This window comes from Homo sapiens, chromosome 4, assembly GCF_000001405.40.
Source record: "Homo sapiens chromosome 4, GRCh38.p14 Primary Assembly".
Lineage (NCBI taxonomy): Eukaryota > Metazoa > Chordata > Mammalia > Primates > Hominidae > Homo > Homo sapiens.
In genome coordinates, this window is record NC_000004.12 from 28,361,684 (window position 1) to 28,388,166 (window position 26,483).

Sequence of the window (26,483 nt, forward strand, 5' to 3'; positions counted from 1 at the left end):
GTCTAACATAGCAATCTCATTCTACTTTGCACTTGGGTTTGTGAGATTCCATATTAGTAGTAAAAAACACAGCCATGATAATGGCCCTGTTGAATCTTACACAATGGCTTTTATACATAGGTACCATAACTAGAATCTTTACTTTTTCCTTTACATGGTGCTATGATATGAATATTGGTATCCCCCCTCCCTGCCCAAATTCATAAGTTAAAACTAACTTGCCTTCATGAATGGGATTAGCGCCCTTGTAAAAGAAGTTGAAGGGCGCTTCCTTGCTTCTTCTGCCATGTGCGAACGCATAGAAAATGCCATCTCTGAAGCAGAGAGCCACACCAAACAGCAAATCTGCCAGCACCTTCATTTTGGACTTCCTACCCTCAAGAACTGTGAGCAATATATTTATGCTGTTTATAAATTATCCCATCTGAATCAGCTAAGACACTTGAATATTTTGCTAAGTAAAGTTGAATTTAGTGAAGAAAATATGATCTGTACCATGCAGTGTTTCTTTTTCTTAGCATAAGAACGACCCCTATATCCCTCACCCTAGTGTGAAGATTGACTGAGAAGCAAAGAAACGAGAGAATTTTTTTGTTTTTGTTTTTCTTTCTTTATGGTGTTCTTCAGGAGTGTTAACATTTTAGCTCAGACTTGGCCAGGAAACCTTAAATCCCATAATGCTTAATCAGCATTTCAGGAGCTGTGTTGACCAGATCTTCTCCTTTCTTCCATCCGTGTTCCTCAAGCAGAGGGCAGGAAGCTACCTTCTCAGCAACCTATGAACTCCTTAGTATTGTTTCAGTAGTTTCTATCATAAATAATTCCTGACTCCTTTGAAGAAGCTGGTTCCGAGAAGACAGGGATAATTATCTCCTGATGTCTGAAATGGTGTGATACCGTATTTCCCACCTAAATTAAAAGACAGAGGAATGTAGACAAATATAGCAGTGTAAAATCTAGTTGGTAAGGAGCTTAGCAATGAAGTAAAGTGAGACTTGGAGATCAGCACACATTTTTGTTTATCATGGGTAGAATAATGTATGACTCCTTGAGTGAGTTTCTAAAAGCCATTTAAATTGTTGCTAAAGAAAAAATAGTCAGGGCTTGGGTAAAAATTAGCCAGTTTTATTGTCAGAGAAGTGTCATACTTCCCTAGAACAGAATTTCAGAATATTTTATTTAAATGTATTAAAATGTATGATACTATAAGGTATATTAAATGATATTCATAGTCTCATATGCACTCTTACAATCAACTACAATAAAGCTAAAGTTTAATGTATTTCTTCCCTTCCCTGTGGATGCTATTTCCACGAAGAATTCATTCAAACCCTTTCTAAGGTGTTAGACACCTTTTTAAAATATTTAGTAGGGTGTCACTTCTTTCTGAGTCTGATAAAAGTAGGACTTGTCTTTAGTCCTTTAAACATAAAAAGAGGCAATATCAGTAACACAATTCTCTCCATTAGAAGAATGTTCCCAAATTATCAACATGAAAAAGTTTCTCCTCTAACTGAACTTAGTCTGCAGACTCTGAAAACAATATCAGCCATGTGCAGCATTTTGATACCATAAAAATGTTTATATAGGCTATCATTGTTTTCATCCTCCAAATCAAGAATCATGTGGTCTCATTCAGTAAGTTACCTTCAACTCTTTAAACATCACATATCCATTGAAAATATTAGCAAGAAATGCAATTCAAAATGCATATTTTTTAGTGCAATGCAAGGGGAGAAGCTAAGTCAGTGAGAGGGTCGTAATTTCCTCCACATAACTGACAGATATGGATTGAAACCCTTAATGTGGACCAGCATCTGAGCCAGGCACCAAAAACACAGGTAGAACTCCAAGGATGTGTAAGGAAGTTTTCATGTTATTTGTTGAACAAAGGGAGGCACTGGAGTATTTTAAGCAGAAGAGTGACTCTAATTCATTTATAGCTTGTAAGACTACTGTAATATCTTGGTGGATAATGGCTTGGAGAGAAGGTATTACAAAAATGAGAATTTCTGTTGGAATGGTTTGGAGTTCCTGTGGACACTGACCTCTCCTCATAGGTTAATTTTTAAAATTATATGATTACTTATTTTTTAAAATGTTTCTATAAAAATATCTCCCCACGTTTCCTCAGCAATCTTAATGTTCAACAACCTATGAGGAATTGACATAGGGAAAAAACAGTGGAATGTAGTGGAGATGTATGAGTAAAGTTATTTTAAATATTTAAAAAGTATTAAAATAATTTTATGTCTTTCAAGTTATCTGCCCAAATTGGGACTTACACAGCCCTATGCTTCCTTGAACACAGATAGACTGCCTCTAGGTTGCTCCTGAAATCAGATAAAATTAAGATTCACTTTACCAGTTAAACAATATGTAAAATGTAGCCAATGTAACTGCTCTCATGAAATACACCATCAAGCTTGGGGTTACTGTATGAGAAGGACAGATCCATCACAGCCTAGGACCAAGTTCCATTAGAAATTCTGTATAGAGTAATTGTGAAAGGTCATCATGGATAATAGAACATAAAGCAAACTTGTAAATTAATTAAATCATTTGGCATGTACATTGTTCCTAATAAGTACTTGGCCATGAGCCAGTTGCTTGGTATAAAGAAATAAAAGACAAAGAAATGTTGTTCATGAAACTTATATCGAGAAGCATAACTCACAATCTTCTTTCCTAAAAGAATAGTTGATATCAGGAAACATTGTGCACCCAGCTAATATCAATGCTCCTCTCACTACAAGGAAATAAAAGCCCTGGAAAAATATTTTTGGAAATTGAATACATCTAACAGAGGAATATTTCTAGGTAAAGATGGTAAATAGGACACATGCCTTTCCTTCTTCGACTCATTTTATATAATAAGAAAGTGAGTTTTAGGCCGGGCACGTTGGCTCACGCCTGTAATCCCAGCACTTTGGGAGGCTGCGGTGGGTGAATCACGAGGTCAGGAGTTCAAGACCAGCCTGGCCAACATGTGAAACCCCGTCACTACTAAAAATACAAAAACTTAGCTGGGCATAGTGGTGGGTGCCACTACATCTCAAAAAAAACAAAAAAAATGAGCTTTACAAAGGGCTTAAGGGGCAGAGAGAAAAGAAGAGGTGAAAGGGGAACATGTGTATATATTGTCAAAGAAAAGTTAAGAAAAAAAAAGAAGCTAGTGGAGAAGTGTTTGAGAATATTAGTGGGAAGGCTGGTCAATGTGAGTAGACTGTCTGTGTTTGCTCATTGGTACTTAGCAAATTTGGGCTCCTATCTTCCCACAAAGACTGGGAGACAAGGACACTATCTCCTTCTATGATGACATATGATGACACTTCGAAAAGATAGCTCTCAGGTCCTTAAGAAAAACATCCCTGGCTGTAAAACTGGAAAAAGACTACATCTCAAAGGAGCTGAGAACGAATGTACAAGATTTCTAAAGTAAATACTCTAAGAAAATGGAGGCTAGAGGTCTATAGTCAAAGAAAAACGGTTCAAACTTTAGTCAAGCTGGGGGAAAGGATAAGACCATTTTGATCAATGTGTGTGTGTGTGCTTTGCTTTTGTTTCTGTTTTGTCCATTTTCATACCAAAATGAGGCAAAGACAATGAAAGAAAGGAAGTTGTGGGTTAATTTTGAGTAAAAACAAATGCAAAAATTCTAAACAACAGATTAGCAAACTGAGTCCAACATTACATACAAAAAAGAAGAAAAGTTGAGCAGAATAGATTAAAAAAAAATGGGTGTAGCATCACATGGCTGGCAAAAATGAAAATGAGTCTTTCTGCTAATAATAGTAAAGTGTTATATCCACCAGTTGTAAAATAATTAAATGGCTTGCTCAGGATCACACTGCTAATAAGTGGTAGACTTGGATTTCACTCCAAATGCATGTATTTTTTTCCTTTTAATTTTGGGAACATTATTTTTCTCACAAATAGAAAATAATTATTTGCTTGCTTACAGAATAGTTTTAGAGGCTCTATGTAATTTAGTACTAGTACTGTAAGGCAGGATTAAGTTGCATATAGATACAATTATATCTTAAAAGTTTACATGGTTTTTATAAAACATACAAATAGTGTGTGTGTGTGTGTGTGTGTGTGTGTGTGTGTGTATAATCAGTCACAAAGAAAGTCATTGCATTGCAGCATATTATAATTAGAGGTCTAATACAATGACATATTTTTTTTAGCCACACAGTAAATGTCGATAGAATGAATAAATGTCTAGTATAGAAGAGAACACACATATTTTTACTACAGAGAGCAGGACTAGAAGTAATAGTTCAGAGTTACAAGGAAGCAGATTTCGGCTCAACCTAAGACACTATCTAAAATAAGAGTTTCCTGTGATTGAGTTAGTTGCCTGAAAAGAGTTGAACAAAGAATTGTCAATCCAAGAGTTCTGGAATTCTTTGTGAAGGTGAGATAAACCATTGCTGTTTGGGAGAGTCTTGGATCTGTTCCCATATGGGGCACAAAAGTAAAATTGGAAAACAGGAGTGCTCAGTGTCATACTCAGTCACTATTAGTTCACAGCAAGTTTATTCATTTTCTCCATTGCAAAGTTGCAGGATGTGAATTAGGGTAATTAAGAAAAGGTTGTGACAAGAATCTGAGAGCAAGTAAACTACATATTGAAAGTGGTTATCCAGAGGGAGAAAAGGATTTGAAGAATGAGGTAACCGGATGCAGACATCTGGATAATGTTGATTGGCAGCTTAATGGCTCTTGTCTTCCCCAAATTAGGCATCCAGTGGCTGTTTCTATTCCTTTTGTTAACATGTTGGTATATACAATGTGGCAATTCTGAGGAGCAAGAATCTAGCGAGAAGACTGGGAAGTGCATTGCACACTAGGATTTAGAAATAACTGAAAGAATTCAGCATGGAAGATGTATCAGTTTATGTCCCAGCAAGGAACAGATGGCATACTGAAATTAGGTTCATCAAAGGAGAGTTTTTAGTAAAGGAACTTTTGAAAAAGGTATGAGCATAATGTTGGAAAACCACAGGAATCATGCAAGCCCCTGCTCTTGACATTAGAGCTGTTACCAACCCTACCTCCAAAAGGGCAAAGCTTACAAGTGCATGTTAGAACCTGAGAAGACAGGATCATGCAGAGCAGCACTTCTCGAACCATCTGTTCGAGAAGGGGTTGTTTGGCGTTGCCAAAGAAAATCCATATAATATTTGGATACTATATAATAGTTGTTCTGAAATTCAAAATTAACTGGTTTATTTACTTTTAGTTTTTCAGTCTGGCAACTTTATCTATGAGGAAGAATCCATTTTTTGTGTGTGCTAGTTTTGTTTTGTTTACTTTGTAGTCCTATGCAAACAGATACTATTGTAAAATAAAATCAAAATAAATTACTGAAAAATTAAAATTTAAAAAGACAAAATGCCAGGTCTGCTTTTAAAATTTAAACCCAGTAGACCTAAAATTTTTCTGTAGAATTACAATTAATGTTTCCAGATGCTTTCTCACCAGCACTGGTCCTTGCATCACACTTTTGAGTAGCAGTAATGAAGAAACAGCCACGCTGGAGGGAGTTTTGATTCAGGGAGGGGTGGAGAAGCCTTCAGGGAGGATGCTAGGAAAGTAAATTCCCATCTCACTCTTACACTTCACTTCTTCATCTCCTGCTGTTCTCCTTTGGCCAGAAGACCAGAGAGCCACGTGATATAGCAACACAGTGGTCATTTTTCTGGGAAGAGGAGTAAGGTAGAGGAGTATAGAGAATAAAATTTGAAAGAAAAGACTGAATGTATTTAGCATAGAAGCCCAAAGTTGCTGTCTGAAACTATGTAAGTTTCTGCCAAATGGAATATATCCATTTAGCAGACGCTATTATGATTATTAATAACTCACAGAGTCATTGTTTAAAGAAACTAACTTTTGTTTCACTGAAAGACAAAGCTAGAGGACTAAAGGGGTTGGATGTTTTTCCTTTACTGAGCAAGGAGATACATTGCCAGCATAAAATGTGATAGTTTTAGAATGTCAAGACTTGGGGTAACTATCATATATTAAGCAGTGCTATAGTCTAGATCCTTGATCAGAGACAGCTATTTAGAGAAAAAGTAGTAATGTCCATTATTAATGACAAGTGTCCGAGCGATTGGTGACCTACTATACATCAACCCTTAGAAGCATAATTGTGCATTTCATATATTTATATCCATTTACAAATGAATTATGTCAGTAGTGGGGTGGAAAATTAAGGGATACCATCATTTGAAATTCTTCCTTGTTCCATAAAAAACAATGGATGAGGATAAATTTGAGAAGAGCTTCAAAAAGATGAACGAGTTGAAACCAGCCCATAGATATATTGTGTTTGTTCTAAATTTGGTTGCCAACTAAACATCTAAAACACATACAAATGTATGACACTGCAGCCACACGCTAGCAAGAGGACAATCACCTGGCGTGTAATACCAGCTGCCCCCTTTAGTTTAAGAGACATGTGGACCCAACTGTTACATCTGATTTGTTTTAATTATGAATGTTATCTTTCTGAACCTGGACTCTTCTATTGTGATTATTGAAATTGAGCAAAAAGCACCCCTTCTCTTACTCTGGTTTATGTTTTGTATATTATTTTAACCACCTAGAATGGTAGCAGGGTGTGTGGAATGCAGGCATCGACGGAAGGATTAAATTCATTTAAGAGTAATTGTTTTCAAATTAGGCTATGCTTATAAATTATGTAAGAAACTTGTTAAAAATACAAAGTCCTAAGCCCCACAACCTACAAATTCTGATCAAATGGGTTCAGTAAAGAAAGCAAGAGTTTATTTTTAGTGGGTGTCCTATATATTTAGATCCAAGTGCCTTGAACCGTTGTCTGATCACAAGATTTTTGAAGTCTCATAGTACAAAATGCATTTATACCATTTCAACATGTGCTTTGCTTATGAGTACAACTGTTCTGGTGATGAAAGTCACTTTCTCTATCAAAGCACTTAGTGACCCTCAGTGCCCATTGTATTGTCATCTGCACTTCAGCGTTCAACCTGAATATGTCTAAGTTGGAAATCTTTAACGTGCTCCCGTCAAATTCAAAATACAACATAACAAAACAAAACAACTGTTGTTCTGCATTTCATTGGGTGGTACCAGTAGCCGCCACTTTTCCCAAGTCAGAATCACCTGGGTCATCCTCAGAAGTATCTTTTTTTTTTTTTTCTCACTCTGTCACCCAGGCTAGAGTGCAGTGGCACGATCTCGGCTCATTGCAACCTCTGCCCTCTGAGTTCAAGTGATTCTCCTGCTTCAGCCTCCCAAGTAGCTGGGATTACAGGCACCTGCCACCGCACCTGGCTAATTTTTTTTTTGTATTTTTAGTAGAGATGAGGTTTCACCATCTTGGCCAGGCTGGTCTTGAACTCCTGACCTCATGATCCACCTGCCTCAGCCTCCCAAAGTGCTGGGATTACAGGCGTCAGCCACCGTGCCCAGCCATCCTCAGCAGTATCTTTTGCCTACCTTCCAACACTTTACTAGGAACCAAATTTTCCTTAGACTCAGGCTAAGCGAATATTTCCAAGATAAAAACTCTAACACAAAAATGTTTTTAATCTTTCAACTGCTCTTAACTATTCTTCAGATAAAGGTTAAGCTCCTTATTTTGTACATAAATTTAATTTCCCAATGTTTTTCCAAATTTTGTGTGCCATACTTGAGCATTATTATACATTTGATAGTTTTCTTTACATCACCTCATCATTTAAAGTTTACATACACTTTTAGCCCCAAAATAAGCATTAAAAACTCCTCAAAAATTATGTTAATTGCTTTTTGTATTAAAATAAATCTATTTTGGGTTTATTGGGGTTTCTCCTAGAATTATCTTGTATATGTGTTATATTTGAAAGTGTAAGAATAGTTTAACATTTTGCCTTTTCTCAGACTTCTTTCTCCTCCTTTTTCCTCCTCCACCTTAATTGCATCATATCCTCTAGCCTTACTGAACTTCCTGACATTCTTTCATAATGCTAGAATATTTTAAAACTGAATCCTTTATTTAGGTATTGCTTCTTGACCAGCTGATTCACCTATCTCATGGACACTGACTAATTTTTCAAGACCCAGCAACTGGGTGGTATCCTACATAAACTCTCTTGACTTGCTTCATTCAAGTTAAGAGAGTAGATTTGACTTCTTGCCTTGCTTTGTCCACTTTTTAATACCGGTCCTTTTACATAGTTATCATGGAATCTGTAACAAACTTTTAGAGAAATATTTTGTCTATATGTCTCTAGAGGCACAACAAAATATAGCAGTGAAGACATTTGGATCTAGAGCCAAAATGTGTCATTCATTTCTCAGCTCTGACAATTAAAAGCTGTGTGAAATGGAGGAGTTATTTTATTGCTCATTCAGTTAAATCATCTCCAAATTATGGGACTTAACTTAATTTCATCAATTATGTAGCAATTATATATCAATAACACATGTAATAAATTTACCATAGTACCTAGTACATAATTTACTTAGTTTTGGTACCTAGTTCACTTATTACTTTGTTAATATAATGCTATAATCTACCTGGAAATTATATTTTGTATATTTTTATTGAATACCTAGAAACTCTCTAATTACAGAGTTTACAGGTACTTAGTTCATAAGAGAACAAAATAACGGTTCTCTTCAGTTAATATTTAGATAAGACGAAGTATCAATAGTCAGTATTTTAGTATTTTTATATTCACACATATCTGTGTATAAACTTTTTGAAAATTAATATCTGGTTTGCAATACAATATATACATCTAAATGTATCTCTAATTTCCTGAAGTTAGTTAGGGAGTGTCCATTTATTTTAACTTTCAGATGGACCTTTATTAAGTGATTGCCAAAGCTAAAATTTCAGAACAAGACATTAATTTTCCAAGATATAGACACACAGAGATACAGGTACACATTCATAGATGACTTTTTGATTAGGTTTTATGCATATATAGACATAGTATCAGATGACTCTGAATAAAGGGTTAGTTACTCTTACCAATAAAACATCTCCACTGCAATAATTCCGATTGGTTACTTAAATATGATGCTGTACGTATCTGTGTTATCAGTTTCAGGCTCAGTTTGTTGGTTGGTTTGTTTTTTTCCCTAAAAGATATTAAAAAATATGGTGAGAGACAGGGGTCCAGCTTCATTCTTATGCATATGACTATTCAATTTTCACAACACCATATATTGTATAGGGTGTCCTTTCCGCACTGTTTTTATTTTTGTCAGCTTTCCCACAGATCAGTTGGCTGTAGAGATACGGCTTTATTTCTGGGGTCTCTATTCTGTTCCATTTATCTATGTATCTATTTTTGTTCTCAAACCATGCTGTTTTGGTTACTATAGACTTGATCTGTGCTTGCAAAAAAAATGGTAATGTGATACGTCAACTAATGCAATGCCTCCAGCTTTGTTCTTTTTGCTTAGAATTAATTTGGCTTTTGGGCTTCTTTTTTTTTGGCTCCATAAGAATTTGTGGATGGTTACTCCTAATTCTGTGAAAACTGATGTTGGTAATTTGATAAGAATTGCATTGAATGGGTAGATTGCTTTGAACAATATGGACATTTTAATGATATTGATTTTCCAATCCATGAGTCTGGGATATTTCTCCATTTATTTGTGTTATTATTATTTATTTCATCAGTGCATTGTAGTTCTTTTACAGAGATCTTTCATATTTTTAGTTAAATGTATTCCCAGGTATTTTTATTTATTTAATTATTCATTTTTGTGGCCATTATAAATGAGATTGAGTTCTTGGTTTGGATCTCAGCTTGAATGCTATTGGTTTAGAGCAACTCTACTACATTTTTGTTCACTGGTATTATATCCTGAAACCTTACTGAAGTCATTGATCAAGTCTAGTAATCTTTCAGAGGAATCTTTAAGGTTTTCTAGATATAAGATCATGTCATCAGCAAAGAGAGATAATTTGCTTTCTTTTTTTCAATTTGGATGTGTTTTATTTTTGTCTCTTGCCTAGTTTCTCTGGCTAGGACTTCCAGGACTATGTTAATAGGGGTAGTGAGAGTGGAGAAGAATGAAGCGGACTCCTATCTGTCATTATATACAAAAATTAACTCAAAATGAATTAAAGACTTACAAAATGTAAGGCCTAAAACAATAAAAATCCTGGAGGAAACCTAGGGAAACTCTTCTGAACATTGACCTAAGCAAAGAATTTATGACTGATTTCAAAAGAAAATACAACAAAGACAAAAATGGACAAATGGGACTTAATTAAACTAAAAAGCTCCTGCAGAACAAAATAACTAATCAGTAGTATAAAGAGACAACCTACAGAATGGGAGAAAGTGTTTGCAAACCATGCATACAACAAAGGACTAATATTCAGAATCCATAAGCAACTCAAATAACTCTACAAGGTAAAAACAAATAATCCCATTAAAATGTGGGCAAAGGACATGAACAGACATTTCTCAAAAGACATACAGTGGCCAGCCAACAAAACAAACATATTAAAAAAGGCTCAGTATCACAAAACGTTAGAGAAATCCAAATTAAAGCACAATGAGATACCATTTTCTACAAGTCAGAATGACTTTTATTTAATAGTCAATAGACAACAGATGTTGATGAGAATGCAGATGAAAGAAAATACTTATCCACTGTTGTTGGAAATGTAGATTAGTGCAAACTCTATGAAAAACAACATGGAGGTTTCTCGAAGAACTAAAAATAGAGCCAGCATTCAACCTAGCAATCCCACTATTGAGGATCTACCCAAGGGAAATGAATTATTATATAAAAAATACACCTACACTCATATATTTATTGTGACACTATTCACAATAGTAAAAACATGGAATCAATCTAATTATCCATCAACAAATAATTGGATAAAGTGTGGTATAGTATATACACCCTAGAATACTATGCAGCCATAAAAAAGAATGAAATTATGTCTTTTACAGCAACATATATTGAGCTGGAGGCCATTATTCTAAGTGAAATAACTCAAAAGCAAAAAAATTACATATTGTATATTCTCACTTATATGTGGGAAATAAACAATGGGTACACAAAGGCATAAAGGTGGCAATGATAGACATGGGGATTCCAAAACAGCGGAGAGTGAGCATAGAGTGAGTGTTGAAAAATGACCTATTTGGTATAATGTTCATATTTTGTTTGATGTGTTCACTGGAAGTCCAAACTTTATCGTTTCATAGTTTATCCAGGTAACAAGGCTGCCCATGTACCCACAGAATATATAATTGAAAAAAAAAAACAAAATAAGCATAAAATAAGTTTGACCAAATTTAGTTGTGTGCTTTTCTTTTGTTTGTGGTCTACACAACTTCTCTTAATAACTTTTAAATGGGTATACTATTTAAATGTTGAAATTTGCACTTCACTGAATATGTGAGTTCAAATGGTCAGTAGTCATAACATCCTAATAACCTGACACTTGTTCTATAGTTAGCCCCGTCACTCTGAACTAATGAAGGTAAATTATAAAACAATAAATAAATAAGCAGCAATTGCCCTTGGGTGACATAAGTACTGCTTTTAATTACTTTAAAGCAAGGTTTTTAGAGCCAACAATATGAACTCATTGTTTGATAAACACACTGGAAAAACAAGAGCCCTCATTTTGGCATTTAATAAATTTATGAGGTTACATTAACTGAATACACAAGTCATACAAAGGCTGCTATAATGGAATTGTGTCATCCTGGGGATAACCATATAATGATAGCAATAACTCAATAGAAATTCAATGTAGTTCTTCAACTTGCTTGTCCTGCTGTGAGGCAGCATCAAATGCAATGACAGCTTTGATGAATGTATCTTATAAATTCTGATCCTGAATTCCAGTTGTTCATTCTTTAAAATACAATTATATTCACAAAAAATACATGTAAATATTTGCTTTAATGAAAATAGAACAGCTCTTATGGCAACACTCAATTTAGCTAATATGAATCAAGAACTGTACATGTTTTTGCATTTACTAACTCATTGCATGAAATTCTCCAAAACCCATGATTATGATGATGCAATATATACCATATTCAGGGAATAGTGACTAAGTAGGTTAGTAAGTAATGACTAAGTAAGTAAGGAAGGAATATCCTTACCAGGGATAAGAACCTTGGCTATGGATCATTCTGAGACATACCACCTTTTCACAAAATGTCCTTTGAAACCATGCTCTCATAATTTACTCCTGAGTAACAACAACCACAACAGAAAACGGGATGGTTATATAGTCAAGATAGTCATGGCTTGCTTCTTTACTTCCCTCAGACCTCTGCTGAAATACAAGATACTTATCAAGATAAGGCAAGATACTAAGATATAAGTTACTAAGATGTAAGATAAGGTAAGATACTAAGATGTAAAATACTAAGTTGTAAGATACAAGTTACTAAGATGTAAGAGGTAAGATACTAAGATGTAAGATACAAGACTTAGTGATAAGCCTTGTATTGAAAGTAAGGTTGTATAAAGGGACAACAAATTCTTGAGGACACCATTTTATGTCACTATTATTTTAATAGTTAGAAGTAACAATGGCTAGAAACTGAACATTAGAGAATATTATGGTAGGATTCTGTATGTAATATGTAGATATGTCCAATAAAAAGTTATTGGTAGATTGGATACAAGGTGTATAATAAAGATTTATTGCCTGAGAAACTAGAAAAAATGAATTACTATTCACTAAGATGCGGAAGGCAATAAGATGGGCAAAATTTATTTATTTTGTAAGAATCTATTGGATACAGGAATATGAATATTAGGGTATGTAATACTAGAGATTAGACAAAATGACTTAGAAAGTAAACAGTGGAAGGAAGTCCAACATTTAAGTTCATAAAGATGAGGAAGAATTGGTAAAAGAGATTAAGGAATAACAGCCACAGATCTAGATGTAGAATTAAAAAGAGGGTGATATACTGGAGGCCAAGCAAAGAAAGCATTTTACGAATGGAGTGTTCATCTTTGCCAACTGATCTCTCAATGAAGAGCTATATAGTTGGATGTGGAAGAGAATTGAAAACCGGGTTTGGCAATAAGCATTTCTTCAGTGTCCTAGAGAGGGCTTAATAGATGATGGGAAGAGAAAAACTGGAGAAGGTGAGTAAAAAATGACTTTCATTCAAAGGAAGCACATGAAATAAACTTACAGAGGATAGCCTGCTGATAACAAACTGGGCTCCTGAGGGCAGAGTGGAATGTTGGCTTGGAAATGGGCAGATTTAAAGTATTCCCATTATGAGTTTTCTACACTGAATAGATGTGCTTTCTTATATGATGGCTTGTATGGTTATAGCATTCTGGTTCTCTTGCCTAGATTTTACTTTCATGTATGAAAGAAACATCCAGTACAAAATTCATTCTGGTTATGTTACAATGAGACTTGTACTAACCACCAACTTGTTTTATAACAACTCCTTTTGGAAATTATCTCAACTGACTAGGTAATTCAGGAAACAATTAGTTTATTTAGTTATTTATGTAAGTAATTATTTGTAATCAATAGTGAGGAACCTTTATTTGAATGAAAAAGATTAGTGTGGATTTAATAAAGTATATTTAATAAGCATTGAGATTACTTGTCAAATATATGGCCCTACGTAAATATTTCAACCTCGAGATAGCAGCATTTATGCGGTGATCAATACACTGTTTTCTCTGCAGGTTTCCTTTATCTTCTTGCTCTGTGAAACCTGGTTGGCTCCTGTTAACACTGATTTGCCCCAAAGACCTTACAAGTGCGAGATGTTTTTTTCTGCCACTCTCCACTTATGCAAGGTCAATGTACTCCTTGTGTGCTGATGCTGATCAAACTCTTCTTTGTACTTCCTCAGAAGCTCAAGCTCTATGATATATATGCAGTCAGACTTTCCCACTTCTTCCTAGTTGCAGTTACTACTGACGCCCAGCCCACTCCTCCCATTTTTTTCATCACTTGACTCATTGTCTTCCTCCTCACTTGTCTGCCTATTCTTTGTTGGCTGTTTCAGTATCCAGGTAAATGTTAGATACACCCAAAACTCTGATCCCCCTGTTCATATACTCTTTAGCTCCAACAGTGATTTTTTTTTCTTTTCTTCTTTTTTTTGTATTTTTAATTTTACCTCAGCCACCATTTCCATAGTCTGGCACCAGAATTTGTTATCACAAAAATCTAAACCCATTTTCAAACATCCCACTCCCTATTCACCATCTCCATCTATCAGTTCATATGCTGCATTTTGTCTTAACCAAGAATTATCTGACTTATCAAAAGTTATTTTATTTTCTTGTTCATATTAATTATGTTTTAGTCTACTAATCACTTTCCTTCTTCTACATGTAACTTCAATGTTTCAACAACTTAATGTTCTTGTTGAGTTCCCTTAACTCGTTTACCTTTGTTTTCCAAATTACTTGCCTTAAAAAAATTCCAATTATGGCTTTACTAAGTTACCTTTGTATCACTTTCCTGGATCTGTATGTTTGAATATTGTAGGAAAAAAAAAAACTATGCAAGAGTGATGACTGAATTCCTTTCTAATTAGTGGTCAGGAATATAAAATACAAACTCAATAATGCCAGTCAATACTACCATTCTTCCCTATACATAAACCAATTCCTCCCTGTATTAGTCAGGGTTCTCTGGAGGGATAGAATTAATGGAATAGATGTATATATAAAGGGGAGTTTATTAAATAGTATTAACTCACATGATCACAAGGTCCCTCAATAGTCCATCTGCAAGCTGAGGAACAAGGAAGCCAGTCGGAGTCCCAAAGCCTAAGAACCTGGAGTTCGATGTTCGAGGTCAGGAAACATCAAGCACGGGAGTAAGATGTTGGCTGGGAGGCTAAGCCAGTCTAATCTCTCCACCTCTTCTGCCTGCTTTATTCTACCCATGCTGGTAGCTGATTGGATGGTGCCCACTCATATTGAGGGTTGATCTGCCTTTCCCAGTCCACTGACTCAAATGTTAATCTCCTTTGGCAATACCCTTACAGACACACCCAGAAACAATACTTTGCATCCTTCAATCCAATCAAGATGACATTCAATATTAACCATCATACTCTGTGTCAGGTAGCATACTCATAATTTCCTGAGTCAAATCCTTACTTACTTCCACTCCCTCTCATATGGTGACTCCAACATAAAAGTCATAAGAATATTGATGCCATATTGAGAGAAGTATCTCATTAACCCACCATCAGTTTTATCAACCTAGCTAAATTTGTGACCATATATTTTCTTCATGTTAAAGTGGAGGATACTTCCCTGTTTCCTTTAAGAGCTAAGCCCTCCCTCACTACCAATACCCCTTTTTCCTTTTACTCTTGCCTTTCGAATTAAGTTCTGGCAATATAATTCTTTTTTCTCTATATTACTATCTGTATCCTTAAGGAATGAATTCAAGTGCAGTTATTTTATCCACTCGGGGATAAAAAATAAAAATGATGTAAAAAAAAATCACGAAGAAACTTCTTTCATTTCCATATCTGATCCAAATGCTGCCCGATCCAAAAGTTTCTTGTCTGCTTTACAGAGTAACTTCTCAAAATGCAAGGTATCTGAAAGTAGATATGCTACAAAAAGCCCCCAAAATCTCTAAAGAGTAGACATATAGTATATCTATTACATTCTTTTTGAATAAACAACTGAAATGTTGGTTTTAAATTTAGAGGTGCCACAATTTAAAAGGTGTCTGGAAGCTAAAAACAATATTATAAGAAATAAAGTAATTAACAAGTTAAAATATTGGAAATTATTGGAAAATGTAACTAACATTTAAAGATAAGTTTATTCCATGCTTTCCACCTTTTTCGGACATACTAGTCTAAACTCATTCTTTTGTATTTTCTGCTTGTTCATGGCTATGCTTTTCTCATTTTATTCTGGTTGTATGTTTGTCTCTACAACCCCACTGTATTGCTATTAATTAAGGTGATCAAAGAGTGTTGATTAATTTCTCTTTTTCTTTTACTCTACCATTCAGTAGCTTTAGTTGTGATAGACTTGATCCTCTTTCTTATTAGTATTTACTATGTATTTTTTGTTTTGGGGAAATACCGTTTTCTAAAATTCCCCTTGATCTCACTGTCTATCTTTCTCAGCCTTATTTGCAGACTTCCTTTAAAAATATTAGAGTATTCCAGGGGTCTTACTTTGACAGTCTTCTGTTTTCACTTTCTATTCTCTTTCTATATGAACTTGCTCTTTTCTGTGCATCTAATCACCAACTACATACTGATATCTCCTAGATTGCTACTCCTAATTTAGACACCTTCTAATTGGTGATAAATCTTAGCTATCTGAAAGCCTTTCTCATCTTACTGTATGTCAACAAAATCTATTCTTTTGAATCAGACAAAAATCCAGGAATTATTTTAAATTCCTCCCTTTTCTTCATATACCATCAGTAAACATTTTGACTTTACTGCCAAAACATGGTCCGATGATTACTACTTTTCTTCAGCTTCTCTACAACCACCATCATAAGACCTCATCAGGACTACCTAAAACTCTAACTCATCTCACAGTCATTACTCTTGCGCTACTGCAATGCATCCACTATTGGACAGTCAGTGTGATTATTCTCAAGTACAGAGTAGATGACGTCAGTCTCCTTCAATAGTTGATCAAGACATTTGTAACAAAATTGAAAACTATAACCAAGCCTGAAAGTCCTGCAACATCTGTACCCTGCTTACTTGATCCATTTCTTACCAATCTTTTCTTTACTGCCTATGATACTTTCGTAATTTTTTAACCTCAGATATTCCAGATTTTTCTGTTAGATTTTCACTCTTGTTCATCCATACACTTCAAATGTTCTTTCTTTGATCTTAAGAATCCTGCTTTCTTCACATTTAGATTTATGCCCAAGTGTTGCTTCTTCAGGCCTTCTCTGAGCACTCAACAGCGTCCCCTGCAGTTCTCTAGAGTTTCTGTTCACTGCCCTGTTCTCTAGTACTCTGCTTCAAAAATACTGACTGGCTTACTCTCCCTAATCTCAGATATCTGTCTCCTTAATCCAGAGAGAACCCCAGGCTTGGTTTGAGTTTCCCCCACCGTACAGCATTCTGAAAACTGTTTATCAGTGATCCACAAGCAGAAGTAATTTTAGGACTTTGCTTAATTACCACCTCCCAACACTCAGAGAACACAGTCCTGCATTGCTTTTGCAATCTATCTGTAATTTTTTTGTGTAATAAATTTGTCTACTTTTTTTTAAAGCTTTAAGACAAGTCTGGTCTCTGTTGCTCTATCATGCTTAGAAACAGAAACTGAATGGTTTTAGACACACACTTCATTAAGGACATGTTGTTTCACATGGTTTCCTACTTAAAAAAAAAAAGAAAACAAATTCTAAGAAAAGAAATTTAGAAGAATTTGAATAGTTTGAGGTGTATTAGTTGCTTTATTCTATTGGTATAGTTTAATATTTTTGATATTGTTAGTATATTATGATATCAAACTGTCCTGTTCTTCCAGATTTGTGTAGGATGAAAATATAAACTGAGACTTTGTTTAACATCTAATTAATAAGGCATAAACACCACCTAATTATATGATTTATCAACTTTCCTCTCAGACAGGTAGAAATACTTGGCCTAAGAAGAAACTCTTTCATCTTTTTTTGCTTCTTATTTTCTTTGCAGTTTTACTGTTGACATAAAAAATTACCATGTGTTATGATCTTAAAAGCCTGTCAGGAGGGGAGAACAAAATTTCCATCGATTCTTAAATGTAGAAATCTACCTGTAAAAAAGACAGTTTTTTTTTATAGTGGGAGAGATGTGATTTTCCCAAGTATGTGTGTATGTGTGCATATGTATGTGTGTGTGTGTCTGTGTGTTCATAATTTTCCACATAGTTAATTTGCGTTTGTTTAAAAATTTTAGAAATAGTAATTTATAAATCTAATCTATTTGAGTTATATATCTTATATCATGAAATTCGATGAAAGCAGGACTTTAACATGATAATTTTAATGACTATTCTTACAGACTTTATCTTCCAAATTTATTTATAATAAGGCTGCAAATGTGGCTTTATATATTTATTAAGATAAATGTACATACATAAAATACACATACATTCATAAAAAGTAAATTTCATGTGTGTGGACTGGTTTATATACAGTGGCAAAGTTTGCAAACACAGTAAATATTTATATTTTGATAATAAAATGATTAACATGCCAGTTATAAAAATATGCTTTATCCTCTGATTTTCTTTTTGAATTTCATAAGAAAGTTATGCTTATTTGAGATGGATTGATAATTTGTAATCAACTACAGATTAAACAATTTCTTATAATCTCTTATTCACCAATCCATAATAATCACAGTTATATATGTTGAAAATAAATTGGATTCTAGATGGTGATATTTTATATAAAAATTGTCAACATGCCAAGAATTGACTAAGACCAAAGCACACTAGAATATGGTGATTATGGGTTAAAGAAAGTGAACAACTTCCCAAAGCACAAAGGAATTTCAGTATAAGAAAGACCTCTATTGAAAGGAAACAAGGAACGGAAGTGTTCATGACAACAATGGAAGTTATCCATACATTATTTCCAGGGTTCAGAGAGGAAGAAAACCCTCAAAATAAGCATTTAAGTGCTCAGGAAATATGCTCAGATACTACTCTCCTAGGTTCCCTACTGCAGACAAGTAATGCAGAATAGGTGAGCAAGCACAGGATGTGTAGCCATTTACCTTTAGATGCCTTCATGATTCCACTGGTGGTATTAAGAGAGCATAAGATTTCTACAATTAAGGGAGAACTATGAATAACAAGGTAATCCAATGATTCTAAGATGAGAAGGAGCCTGTACATTTCAACAAATCAGGTTTCTTGATGATATATAAAGTTGTTTCCTAAGTCAAGTGGTGAAAAAAGTTGACTTGCCATAACTATCAATGCCATCCTCTTTAAAGAACCTAAGGAGGCTGGGTGTGGTGGCTCATGCCTGTAATCCCAGCATTTTGGGCAGATCATGTGAGGTCAGGAGTTCAAGACCAGCCTGGCCAACATGATGAAACCCTGTCTCTACTAAAAATACAAAAATGAGCTGGGTGTGGTGGCAGGCGCCTGTATTCCCAGCTACTCGGGAGGCTGAGGCATGAGGATTGCTTGCACCCAGGAGGCAGAGGTTGCAGTGAGCTGAGATCGCACCACTGCATTCCAGCCTGGGTGACAGAGCGAAACTCTGTCCCAAAAATAAAAATAAAAATAAAATAAAACATAAAGACTCTAAGGGATGTTTGGGGATAATAACTATTGTGAGGAGATCCCTTTTAGTAAAAGAAAAAACGTAATACATTCTCATTTCAAGGCTATAGGTACATTGAACAATTGATTCAACTTTCTTCTTTAAAAAACATGATCAAACATTCATCTATTTGACAGCCATAGAATTTTTCAAAACTATTATACAGTACTTTTATTAAGAGGCACTTATAGCTTATTGACTGTTTAAAGTTACATTTAATTTTTATTAGCAATTTACCAATGCAGTTATTGAAAATTTTTACTTAATCAGATATGAAACAGTTTTTAAAACCTTAAGAGGTGGTATTGAGAAAAAAAAAACTTAAAAAAAAAAACTCAATGTAATTACCAAAAGGAGAATTATACAGGTAACAATCGATCAATCACACAATCCACCCTATACCACATACACCATACCAATAATTCAGATTATCTGATCTACCTGCCAGAAGTTAGCACTTGAGCCTCATTTTACTCTGCTGTCCTGCTTAGCTGAGTCCTAGCTGGTCGATTACTGCTTTTCTCCCTTTGTATCCTGTGATTTTGAGGTTCCTGGGTGTCTGTATCAGTATGTACAGCTTTCTAATGATCTTGGATTTCATCTCTTTAATTTTCCTTATCTTTTTCATTGCCATTTTCTAGGTTGTGTCTGAGGAAAAGGACCTCTGCAGAATTGTATTTTATAACCCCAATGCGTATTTTCCATCTGTCCAGTTCCCTTTGTTCCCTGCACCCTGGGCACCACCATTGTCTATCACTTTCCCCGAAAACAGGCTTGGAATAATGGGTATTCCCATGCAGAAGATGGGGCACCATTTGCTGAAGCTGGAAGCATTTGTTACTTCTGTGTCTTGACCTTGCTGCAAATCTTTGTGATCATAGGACCAGGGACACTTTTCACATCCAATTCCCCTAGAAGTTTTTTCCTACAATACAAAGTTAAAAAGTGCTATTGAATTCTATTTAATAATTCTGTATTTAAATTTTTTATTTCTATTCATAAGTGAAATTGGCCTGTAATTGTAATATACTGTATCATCTTTTTCAGGTCTTGAAGTCATTTTCTCACCTTCTTTTTAAAAATTACTTCAGAAGTTTCCTTAAAGTTTTTCTTTTTGAAAACAGAATAGAGAATATTTTTTTTTTCTATTCTTGGATATTGTTTAAAATAAATTTAGGACTCTCTGTTTCTAAAAGCCCCCTGTGAATTCATATAGATCTGGGAAATTTTTGTAACGGGCCTTTTTTTTTTTTTCCCTTGAGTAATCTCTCTATTTTCTAAGGAAAGTAGTAATTTAAATTTTCTTAACTAAGGTCAATTTCTTCTTTGTCACTGTGCTAAAAACTGCCTCTTCATTTACTTTTGATATGCTACTTATACACAGTTTATTTTTTTGTAAAATTACCAGTGTGATTCAGGTTTCAAAATACATTTGCAAAAATGATTTTTAATAAATTGTCTTCATTTATTGTTTTGGTATTTGTGTTTTCTCTTTTTTAAAAAATCAGGTTATTTAATCCTGTATTTTTGCTGTTTTTCAAGGCATACTTTATTTATTTTGTTACTTTTTTTCTAACACAGTAAGTTTGGCTTATATCTCTATTGATTTTTTTGATGTTCTTTATTTTAGGTTGTTTCATTGTTTTAGTTTTATCTTTTTGGAAGCAGGTGTCAATTTCATTTATGATTTATTGATAGCTGTGTTAAGGCTATGAACTTTTCTCTGAACATAGCTTTGGTTATGTTGTATAGAGTTTGATACATCAAGATATCATTGTGAATTTATAACAATTCTTCAATTTCTGTGTATATTTCACCTTTGACCCCATATATTTTTAAATCATATTTTGTAGTGGTGGTTGTTTGTTTTATGTTTCCTGGTAGAAGAGGCAATTGGTTTTTTGACATTACTATTAATTTTTGACTTAATTTCATTGTGGCCAAATTAACATGTGTGTACAATTAGTGGTATATATTCTGAGTTAAGATTGTCCTTGTTTTAATGTGTGGTTAGCTTTTATAAATGTTGTATGAGTTTTTGAAAATAAACTGTATTCCTTAGTATTGGAACTCAGAGTTAAAAGTACCATATTGCATGCACTTTTCAGTTCCTCTATAGCCTTACTGATTTATTGCCTTCTTCATCTACCTGAGCAAGACAGACACATTAAAGTCTCATGCTTGTTATGCGCTTCCTTCTGTTTCCCCTTTGGTGTCCTATAGATTCTTAGTTTGACAAGAGGCTGGTGAGTTGAAGGGATTTAAAGAAGAAAGGTAAATAATGCCTTCCAAATGAGAGTCACATCGGAGCCATAGTCAAGGACCAGGTCATGTGAGGCTTTGTGAAACATGATTAAGAGTTTTGGATTTTGTTTTAAGGCAAATGAAGTCTTTGAGGCATGTTTAATGGGCAGTGACAGGATCTCTTGACTTGTGTGATTTTGCTGTTGTGTGGATAATGCAATGGGAAGAAGGGGGAAAGAAGCAGGAACAGTTAGGGGCTGTGGCAGTGATCACCCATATTAATGTGGTGGCATTAAAACTGGAGAGAAAGGCAAGGATTCAAAGTGGGGTCAAGCTCTAGTTTCTCAGAGCATAGCGTTTACAAGAAAGTGATGCTAACTAATGTAGATTTAGGGTCATTCTCAGGAAAGAATGTGTACTCTATGCCTATATTTGTGACTGTAGGACCTATTCTAACTGGAATAGTCATGGACTATGTCTTTTTCAAGGTATATTTATGGATTCTCAAAAGTGCTCTAATGTGAATGACAAATTATACGGCAAAATCTTCTCATATGGATGGAGACCCTTTGGGGTTTATATGGCCAAATCTTTTCATATGGATGGAAACCCTTTAGGGTGGGAGCCAAGGAGTTGAAGGTTATTGTAAATTGGGGTATGGATGACATGCCCGATTTTGAAAGATAATCACTCTTGGTTTAATGCTGATGATTTAGCATACATATTAAAAATACTTAGTAGAAAGATACTACATATCCAATCTAAGCAATATCTATCACAAAGCAGGAAAGCTATTTTCATAACAAAAATATACACTACTAAAAACTATGTATGCTTTTCTAAGCTAAAAACATGAATAAATATATTTTTGCAATAAAATACATGTCATTTGTTTTCTTTAGATGTCCACTTTATATTTATTTTATAATTTACTGTGCTTTAGTGCACTAATAATGATAACTAACACTTCTATATGGTTTTCGTAGCTTATCCTTTTCTAAGTACTTTACATAATAATTCATTTAATCTTTACAAACCTTTGAGGAAATACCACTTTAAATGAATAATTATCCTTTTAATAAGTGAGATTTCAAAATTAATGAACAGATATGGTTATGATATTTAATGTGACCTCATGAAATAAATTAATAAACGTAGAGCTATAAAAATTAGGCTTTCTGATTTTAAAAAAATCATTTTCCCTTCCCTTCCTTCTTTCCTTCCTTCCCTCCTTCCTTCTTTCCTTCTTTCCTTCCTTCCTTCCTTCCTTCCTTCTGAGACAGCACCTCTCTGTCAGCCAAGATGGAGTGAGTGGCGTCATCACAGCTCACTGCAGCCCTAACCTACGAGGCTCAATGAATCCTTCCAGGAATATAGGCATGCACCATGAGGCCTGGCTAATATTTTTTTGTATGTTTTGCAGAGACGGTGTTTTGTAGAGACTTCATTTTTTTTTTTGTAGAGACTTTATTTTGTTTAACTATTCTTTTACTCAGAAGTATATTTTTAAGATAGCTCCTGTTGCCCAGGAGCTCAAGCCAGCCTAGGCAACATGAAAACAACCCATCTCTACAAAAAATAGGCTCCCCTCTGCACCTGTCTCCACCTCTCAAAATGCTGGGATTACAGACATAAGCCACAGCACCTGGCTACATTTCCTAGTTCTTTATGTCTTAAATCATTAATGTATTTGCCTTTTTATTCTATAATTTAATCCAACAAGAAATATATACATAAAAGATCAAATATTAATTTTAAATTTTAGTTAGACATACCATTTTTAAACACTAATTTGAACCATATATGCAAAGAGTTGAGTTAATCACCCTCCACTCTTCATGCCACACTATCATTGATACTTGATCAACTTTTTTTAATGTATCTTTTCTCCATGTTTTGTTTCCCATTCTCTTACCCTTACGAGAAAACATGGATTTATTTTTATTTGTACATTACCATAAAACTTGTATTATTATTTTCTCTAAGTAAATTGAATTTATAGAGATGTATTCCAGACTTCATTTTGTTTAACTATTCTTTTTCAGGATTACATTTTTAAGATAATATCGTATTATAGCTGAAGTATGTGTGTAACAGCTAGTGCTTCTAGATGGGATATAATCAACTTGCAACCAAGTGGCCAGCTGGTCTCCTTAAACAATGATGTTCTGTTACGCACTCACTTTGTCGTCTGTGGCTGGCAGGTTGGACATTTCAATGTGACAGTAGCTAGATTAGGCTTGGTAAGTAGGAGTCTATTATGCTGTGCCAATGAGCAGCCTCTGTCTCTGCCACTGCAGCCACTATGTTTATGCACTCGTGTGGCAATTTTGCCATGGCTGGTGTAAAAAACTGGCTAAAGATAACAGGCCAGACTTTTTAGCTACTTTGTTGTTTAGGGCCTCTTCCTAAACATGGAAGATGTCCTATGGGGAGTACTAATATCCGATAAAAATCACCACACTTTGTGTCTACTGCCATGTGTCCATTTACATGCCTCTGTCACTAGAACTCATTATTTCTGATCTTACAACCTTTATCTTTCACATTTGACCAGCTGGTCAGGAAATTAACCATGGTGCATAAGCTATATATAATAACATCAAATAACTCATCTTCTCACCCATAGTGACAGATCAGGTGCACTGCCTGAAGCTCTAGGCATTGAGAGCATTTTCTCTTATGGTTGTGCTTAAAGGCAACCTCTGTAGTGCTTGCATAGTACAGACGCATTTCACTTTTTATCTTACACCACCTACAAAGCTAACCCACATGTGAACCAAAGCTCCTCCTTCAGCTAGCTGTACAGATTTTCTATACAGTTACGGTTGCAAGCTGAGAAGAATAGTGGTGGGTGACAGAGCAGTGAGGGATATCTATTCATGCAGCTTTCTTGTGCACTCTGATCCTGCTTGTGCTTAATCCCAGTGGGTGTACTTCTTCCATAAGAAGTAGGAAACTATATGAGCCTTGATGAGTTGGGTTATTGTCGGTCACATCCAACCTTATGACTCGGTGAGCATAGTAGCTTTCTATTGTTGTCATAAGAAATCCCCAGAAACTAAGTGGCCTAAATAACACATTTTTTTGTTGTTTGTTCATTGATGCATAACATTTGTACATATTTAAGGGGTATTTGTGATAGTTTGATACATGCATACAATGTGGTATAATTCCATATGCTTTATTGGCTCTTGCTGAAATGGCTGAAGGACAACACCCTTAAACTCCCTAGATGCTCTGTAATTTTATTGAGAGGATGGGATAATCACATTGTGGATCATATTAAAGAGCCTTTGTGTGTCTGAATACTTTAAACTTTTAATCTTTCTGAGGTATTAGCAGAGGTTTTATAGGCACGTCCTTGGCTTTTTCTTCTAAAGCACATTTCATGATAGTGAAATGTAGCATATTTTGCAATATGGATAGACTGATAATTTCCCAAATCTTCCAGCCTTGGTTTCTTTCTTTCTTTTCTTTTTTTTTTTTTTCTTGAGACAGAGTCTCGCTCTGCCACCCAGGCTGGAGTGCAGTGTTTCTTTTAATTAAACAGTTCATCCCTTAATTTATCTCTTTCCTTTTGCATTTTACTATAAGTGGCATAAAGAAACCAGGCTGAACCTTCAACACTTTCCTCAAACATTTTCTCAGCTTACTGTTCATTTTTGCCATTTACAAGTTTTGGTTTTCAAATGACTGCAGGAAACAATTACACTAAGCTTTCTGCCATTATGAAACAACAATCCTTTTTGTTCCAATTTCTAGTTGCATGTTCCTCTTTTTCTTTCTCTAAGCCCTCACCAACAGTGACTTTAATGTTTGTACTTTTACTCATATTTTGTTCACAAAAATTTAGGTAGTGTTGTTCCTCAGTCATAGCAGGGGATTGGTTCCAGGACCCCACACAGATACTTAAATCTGTTAATGCTCAAGTACTCTACATAAAATGGTGTAGTATTTGCATATAACCTATGCATATCTTCCTGTATACAGTAATAATCTCTAGACTACTTATAATACTTGATACAATGTAAATGCTATGTAAATAGTTGTTATACTGTATTATTCTATTTGTTTTATTTTTATTGTCATATTGTTATTTTTAACTTTTTAAAAATATTTTAAATCTGGTGTTGGTTGAATTATGGATGTGGGTCCCTTGGATATGCAGGGCTGACTGTATTCTCTAAGAAGATTTATGTTGCCCTTACCATGTTCCTCACTTCTGCCTGAGTACTCACTGGTAGAATTGTTAACATCCCTGTTTCTACTAACAGGATATTTAAGGTAATCTGTGCTTTCTCTGTCCTTCTTCTCAAAATTCACCCAGCCTCTACTTACTGCCAATTTCAGAATTACTTCTACAATTTTAGGTATTTGGTACAGCAGCACTCCATCCCCACATGAAAATCTTTCTTTAATTTTCACTGTTGCCATAACAAAGTACTACAAACTCAGTAGCATAAAACAAAACAAATGTGATATCTTACATTTTAGCAGGTCAGAATTCTGACAAGAGCTAAAATCAAGCTGCCATCAGGGCTGCATTCTATCTGAAGGCTGTAAAGGATTATTTGTACTCTTGCCTTTTCTGGCTTTAGAGGCCTCCCATGCTTTTTTGCTCCTGACCATCTTCTCTATCCTCAGTGCACTGAGGTCACAACTCACTGAGCATTGTTCCAACATAATATGTCATTCTGGCCACAGCCTGGAAAGGTCCTGCACTTTTGGGAACTCATGATTAGATTGGGCCCACTACGATATTTTAGGATAGTGTCCCCATCTCAAGTTCTGTAATTGAAACCATATATGTGAAATCCCTTTATCTACATAAGGAAAAACATTCACAGGTACCAAAGTTACGGCATGAACATCTTTGGGTGGGTGGGTGGGGCACTATTCTGCATACCACCATGGGTCAATCAGGACCAGATTT

General features: G+C 34.9%; 2 long non-coding RNA genes across 5 annotated transcripts in view; one reads left to right on the plus strand and one right to left on the minus strand.

Annotated features, from left to right (window-relative positions):
• Positions 1 to 26,483, plus strand: part of LOC105374557 (uncharacterized) — a 485,690-nt gene that overhangs the window by 244,174 nt on the left and 215,033 nt on the right. The window lies entirely within an intron of this gene.
• On the minus strand, positions 821 to 26,168 carry LOC107986268 (uncharacterized). Of its 3 annotated transcripts, XR_001741637.3 has the most exons (5): positions 26,038 to 26,168; positions 19,745 to 20,228; positions 14,730 to 14,807; positions 9,017 to 9,126; positions 821 to 909 (listed from the first exon to the last, which is right to left on the minus strand). It is a non-coding gene; the product is annotated as an uncharacterized LOC107986268 (long non-coding RNA). The 3 variants fall into 3 exon arrangements; XR_001741638.3 differs by lacking the exon at positions 14,730 to 14,807; XR_001741636.3 differs by lacking the exons at positions 14,730 to 14,807; positions 19,745 to 20,228.